At 37.3% G+C, this 6,246-nt stretch overlaps 1 annotated feature.

Moving 5' to 3' along the window:
• Positions 528 to 1,203: an enhancer, noted in NCBI's record as "OCT4-NANOG hESC enhancer chr3:103581041-103581716 (GRCh37/hg19 assembly coordinates)". NCBI's record gives its function as "activates a minimal SCP1, AML or CMV promoter by ChIP-STARR-seq in primed H9 embryonic stem cells {active_cell/tissue: H9 hESC(primed)}" and the evidence as "EXISTENCE:reporter gene assay evidence [ECO:0000049][PMID:30033119]".

Consider the following 6,246-nt stretch of genomic DNA (forward strand, 5'->3'; position numbering starts at 1 on the left):
AAGTGTTTGGGTTATTGGAGCAGATTCTTCATGAATGGCTTGGTACCTTCCCCATGGTAATGAGTGAATTCTCACCCTGTTAGTTCACAAAGGAGGTGATTGTTTAAAGGAGCATGGCACCCCTCCTCTCTCTCTCTTGCCCTGCCTCTCACCATGTGACATTGCTGTTCCTCCTTTGCCTTCCACCAGAAGCTTATGGTTCCTATACATTTGCAGAACAATAAGCCAGATAAATCTCTTTTCTTTATAAATTACCCTGTCTCAGGTATTCTTTTATAATGCAAAATAGACTAATACAGAAAATTGGTACCAACGAGGGCATGTCTATAAAGATACTTGAAAATGGGGAAGTGGCTTTGGGACTGGCGGATGTTGGAAGAGTTTGAAGGGCTCATAAAGAGACAGGAAGATGAGAGAAAGGTTGTAACTTAATAAAGAGTGATTTAATGGTTGTGACCAAAATGCGGATAGACATGAGGACAGTGAAGACCAGCCTTATGAGGTCTCAGATGGTAATAAGGAACTTATGCAGGACTGGAGCAAAGGTTACCCTTTTACCCTAAGCAAAAGGTTATGCCCTAGCAAAGAACTTGACTGCACTGTGCCCATGTGCTAATGATTTGTGAAAGGTTAAACTTAAAAATGATAACCTAAAGTATCCAGCAGAAGAATTTTCTATGCAGCAAAGGATTCAAGATGTGGTACGGCTCCTTCTAGCATCCTATTATCTGATGTGGGAGCAAAGAAATGATGTAAAACTGGAAATTATAATTAAAAGGAAAGTAGAGAATAAAAGTTTGGAAAATTTGCATCTTGGCTATGTGGTAGAGAAGGAAAGAGCATTTTCAAGAGAGGAAATCAAGAGGAATGAATAGTAACCTCTTGCTAGAGAGATTTGCATGACAAAATGGGAGCCAAGTGCCAATTGTCAAGACAATGGCAAAAAGTCCTGGAAGACTTTTAGTTTTCAGGACCATCCCTATCACCACAGGCCCAGAGATCTAGGAGAAAAGAATGGTTTCAGAGGGCAGTCCCAGGGCACCATTGCCCTGCACCATCTTGAGAGGCTGCTTTTTACATTCTGGCTGCTCTAGTTCAGCTCCAGCTATGTCTCAAAGGGCCCTAGATATGACCTGGACTGCCACTTATGAGAGTGCAAGCCACTGTAAGCCTTGGTGGTTTCCACGTGGTGAGAAGCCTGGAGAAACACAGAATGCTAGAGAAAACAAGGCTTGACAGCATCCACCTAGATTTCAGAGGATGTATGGGAAAGCCTGAGTGTCCAGGCAGAAGCCTGTGCCATGGGCAGAGCCTCCGCAGAGAGCCTCTACTAGGGCAATGCTGGGGAGAAATGTCTAGATGGAGTCCCCATGTTGTGGCCCTACCAGGGCACTGTCTCATTGGATCTGTGGGACTGGGGCCACCGCCCTCCAGACCTGAGAATGTAAAGCCAATGGAAGCCTACACTCTGAGCATAGAAAAGCCACAGCACTCAACTCCAAACCATGAGAGCAGCTATGAGGGCTGCACTCAGCAAAGACACAGGGATGGAGCTGCCCAAGGCTTTGGGAGCCCACCCCTCACACCAGTGTGCCGGGATATAAGAAATTGAGTCAAGAAAAATTATTTTGGAGCTTTAAGGTTTAATGACTACCCTGCCTGGTTTCAGACTTGGGTGGAGCCTATTGCCTTTTTCTTTTGGCCAATTTCTTCCTTTTGGAATGAAAATATTTACCCAATGCCTGTACCACCATTGTATCTTGGAAGAAAATAACTTATTTTTGCTCTTGCAGGATCATAGGTGGAAAGAACTTGCCTCGAGTCTCAGATGAGACTTTGGACTTTGAGTTGACACTGGAACAAGTTAAGACTTTGGGGGGCTACTGGGAGGACATCAATGTATTTTGCAATGTAAGCAGAACATGAGATGGAGGGGCAGTCCGAGGAAGAATGATACAGTTTGGACATTTGCTTCCTCCAAATCTCATGTTGAAATATGACCCCTAGTGATGGAGGTGGGCCTAGCGGGAGGTGTTTGGGTCATGGAAGCAGATCCCTCATAAATGGTTTGGTAACCTCCTCATGGCTGTGAATGAGTTCTCACTCCATTTGTTCACATAAAAGCTGTTTGAACCTCTTGGTACCTCCTTCTCTCTCTCTTGTTCCCTCTCTCTCCATGTGACTCGCTTGCTCATCCTTTGCCTTCTGTCATGATTGGAAGCTTCCTGAGGCCCTCAGGAAGTCTGCAAAACTATAAGCCAAATAAACCTCCTTTTAATAAATAACCTAGTCTCAGGTATTTATTTATAACAACACAAGACAGCGTAACACCAAAAAGGACTAATTTAATTCCCACCAACAATGTATAAATGTTCCCTCTTCTCGAAAGCCTTGTCAGTATTTGATATCTTTGGATTTTTTTAACAAAAGCCATTCTGACTGGTGTGAGATGGTATCTCATTGTGGTTTTGATTTTTCTCTGCTCATGGATTGGAAGAGTTAGTATCATTAAAAAGACCATATTGTCAAAAGGAATTTATGCACTCAATGCTATTCTTATCAAACTACCTATTTCATTTTTCACAGAATTAAGTAAAACCCTTCTAAAATTCATATGGAACCAAAATAGTTCCCAAATAGGTACAGATATACTAAGCAAAGAGAGTAAAGCCAGATGTATCACATTACCCAACTTCAAATTATAGTACAAGTTGACAGTAACCAAAAGAGCATGGTACTAATACAAAATGGACACACAGACCAATGGAACAAAATAGAGACCCAGAAATAAAGACATATCTATAACCATGTGATCTTTGGCAGAGTTGATGAAATAAGTAATGAGAAAAAGACTCCCTCTTCAATAAATGGTGCTGGAACAACTGGCTATCCAGATGCAGAGGAATGAAACTGGACCCCTACATTTTACCATATAAAAAATTAACTAAAAATGAATTAAAGACTTAAATGTAAGCCCCCAAACTATAAAAATCATAGAAGAAACCCTAGAAAATACCCTTCTCGATACTGACCTTGGCAAAGAATATTTATACACATGCTTAAACTCACTAATTTTGAGAATAAGAGTTTAGAAAATATTAGGTTTCCTTACTTTTTTAAATCAAGATATTCTAAAGTGATAAATGCATACAACATTACAGAATATACTTTAAAATAGGCCAGAAGTTATTGGAAATTAGCATAGTTAGTTGAATTTTCTATTTGCTCACCTATATTTTCTATTTTTATGTAATAAATACACCTAGTTTCTCTAAATACATAGAAAATAGGCATTTAAAAATAGTTTCCAAGAACATTTATGTACATAGAAAACATTTATGACATAATTTTAAGTGAAAGTCTCAAAATTGTACCTAAAGTTTAAACCAAACTTTCTTTAATGCATTAAAATGTGAAGAAATATTCTTTCTGATTGGAGAATTAATGGGAAACTTCTGTGTGTGTGTCTACGCACTCTTTAATTTTACTTTATTTGTTAAACTTTCTGTGATAAGCATTTATCCACTTCATATATTTTTAAAATATTAAACATTTAAAGCAAAATTCAATTCCTCTTTTGCTTATATTACAAGTTATTTTAAAAATAAATTTATGTTTAATAACCCTCTTTGACTTATATTACAAGTTATTTTAAAAATAAATTTATATTTAAGAGAAGGTGAGCTGCAGTCATTTTTATGCTACTTAAACACACCGATTATAAGTGCAACAATTATTTTCTTTATGTAGTGTGCCATAAAGTGAACCTCCATAAAATAACACTATGTATGTCAGTGGTAGGATATGTTAAGGAAGAAAGAAGTTCTTGATTATGAAGACTTTATTTTAACAACCACTAAGAGATGATTTTTATACAGAATGGAAAAGTTTTGTGTTTGAGACCATTTGTTGAGCAACAAATATATAATTTTCTCTATTTGATAATTTTGATTTATAACCCTGAATGGAGGGTTGTGCAAATGTTCAAATCATTCTTCACTTCCAACTCTTTATAGCTGGGTTCCTTTCTTTGCATAGGCTGGTCTCTACTGAGGACTGTTTAATGTTGCTGAAGTCTGAAGAAGCCTACTTTCAAATAATAAACTTTTTTTCTTATAGAATGTAAATACAATGCATTGTGCTTAAGTAGTTTGTTGGAAGAAATGACCTACCTACTTTATTTTCTTCCACATATTAGTGACCTGCTAAAGGTAACATTGGTGCCCTTGAGATTGGGCTCCACACTCTGGGAAGCAATATAGAGCCAGATTATTTGCTCTAGGAAACACATCCAGCAAGTTTGCTTTCGTGACAACGCTTGTATGCAAATGCAAGGATGGAAGGCTTGTTCTGTCTGTTCCTATGGTACCTCTGTAAGTACAATTTCTTTCCATATACCAAAGACATCAGTAACACCCAAGGTAGGGTTTCTTAATTTCAACATTATTGACTTCAGGGACCAGATAACTCCTTATCGGGGGTAGAAGCGGTGCTTTCTTGTGCAAGGCAGAATGTTTAGCAGTATCTTAGCCTCTATTCCCTAGATGCCAGAGGCAGCCTCCAGTTATGACAACCAAAATAACGTCTCCAGACATTGTCATATGTTCCCTGGGGGCAAAATAGCCTCCAGATGAGAACTGCTGATCTAAGGGAAATTATAAAATATTAATAACAACTATTTCATAACAGAATGATAAATAGGCCTGAATTTGAATCTTGATTCTACTGTAGTAGTTACTGAAACATACAGTCTTTGAGTCTCAGTTCCTCCACCTATAATATTTGAATAATATTTTTCATATGTATAGCATGACCCACAATCCATCTGCAACTTTAGTACCTCCCAGGGCAAATACTTTCATTTGTCAGTAAGAGATCATTTCAAGAGAGATGTGAGAAGGCAAGAGTAATGTGTGTGTTGTCTCCTCCTGCCGCACACATCTAAAGCTCCTTGGTGAGGACTGGCACACCAGTGTTAAGAAGTGTTTGTCTTCAAAGATTCTTATGGGAGTTTTTCTCCTTTGAACCAATGAAGTTTATATAGTTTATTCCATGTTTAATATTTTCTTCCATTCAATTAAAGCTAAAATTATAGGAAAACAACATTGCAGCTACCTAAACTAGCTGAGAAGTAGGCAGAAAAAAATACATTTCACTCAACTCTATGGCAAACTGGCAAACAGTTGAGGTTGGTCCTACTAAACATGGAATCCCAATTTGTAACCATGATTGCCCTTCTGAATATGGTAATGCTTTCATGTAAAGAAAATTAAAACTTAAACAAAAATATATTTAAATACACAGTTCACTGGAATTTTGTCTATCCACATCCAGACGATTGGAAAGAGTGCATATTTCTTCAAAACTTGTATTCTCAGTGATTTAGTCTCCATTGTTCATATTTGTTCATTTTAGTCCCTTAGAGAAAAAGGTTTCTTTTTGGCAAAGAAGCAATACATTAACAAAAATGCTTGTTTTTACATTTGTAACCAGTTTATAGTTTATATTAAAGTAGTACTTAGATTTCATCTATACACACACACACACGCACACATATAGTTGATGATAAACAAAAATATCCTGACAAGTTATTGAAATGGAGAAAGAAAATCGAATCCGTCTTAAAGAATAATAAACAGGGATGGGTGGAATCATAGCTCTTTTATGTATAAATGAATATTTAGAGTTTGAAAACCTAGGATATAATGCAAGGCAAAGAGACAAAAGTGGTAGCTATAGAAGGGAGAGAGCATAGCAGAAGTTAGAGGACATAAGTCTTTGTCATCATATCAGAGACACAGAGAAATCTAGGGGAATTTGCTGTAAGCAGTAATCTGCATACAATTTAAAGATTTGGGGAGGTACAAGGTTGGATAGAGTTGTTTTTCTCATCTGGAATGTTTTTTCTCCTATTCTCCATGGATCCTATATGTGTTTTTGTTTTTTGAAGGGTTAATGGAAAAGTTTATTACAGCAGAGGAGATAAACTATTTAATCCATTATTTAGTCTGACTTTTGAGCCACCAGTCACTGGTTGTCTATTTCACTAACACATACAGATCAGAAGGTGCTCAATGTAAAAGGAGCATAGTTCTTCAGGTGACATGTAACTCTGACATCTAAATTTGTTGGTCATGCTTGATGTGGGACCATCACTTTGAGTTCATTTTAGCTATAGAAACTTGTGAGATCTGAGTCTGGAAATATGTTCCTTTGTAGAAATGCAGTGATAGTAAAAAATAATTG

This window comes from Homo sapiens, chromosome 3 (assembly GCF_000001405.40).
Source record: "Homo sapiens chromosome 3, GRCh38.p14 Primary Assembly".
Taxonomy (NCBI): domain Eukaryota; kingdom Metazoa; phylum Chordata; class Mammalia; order Primates; family Hominidae; genus Homo; species Homo sapiens.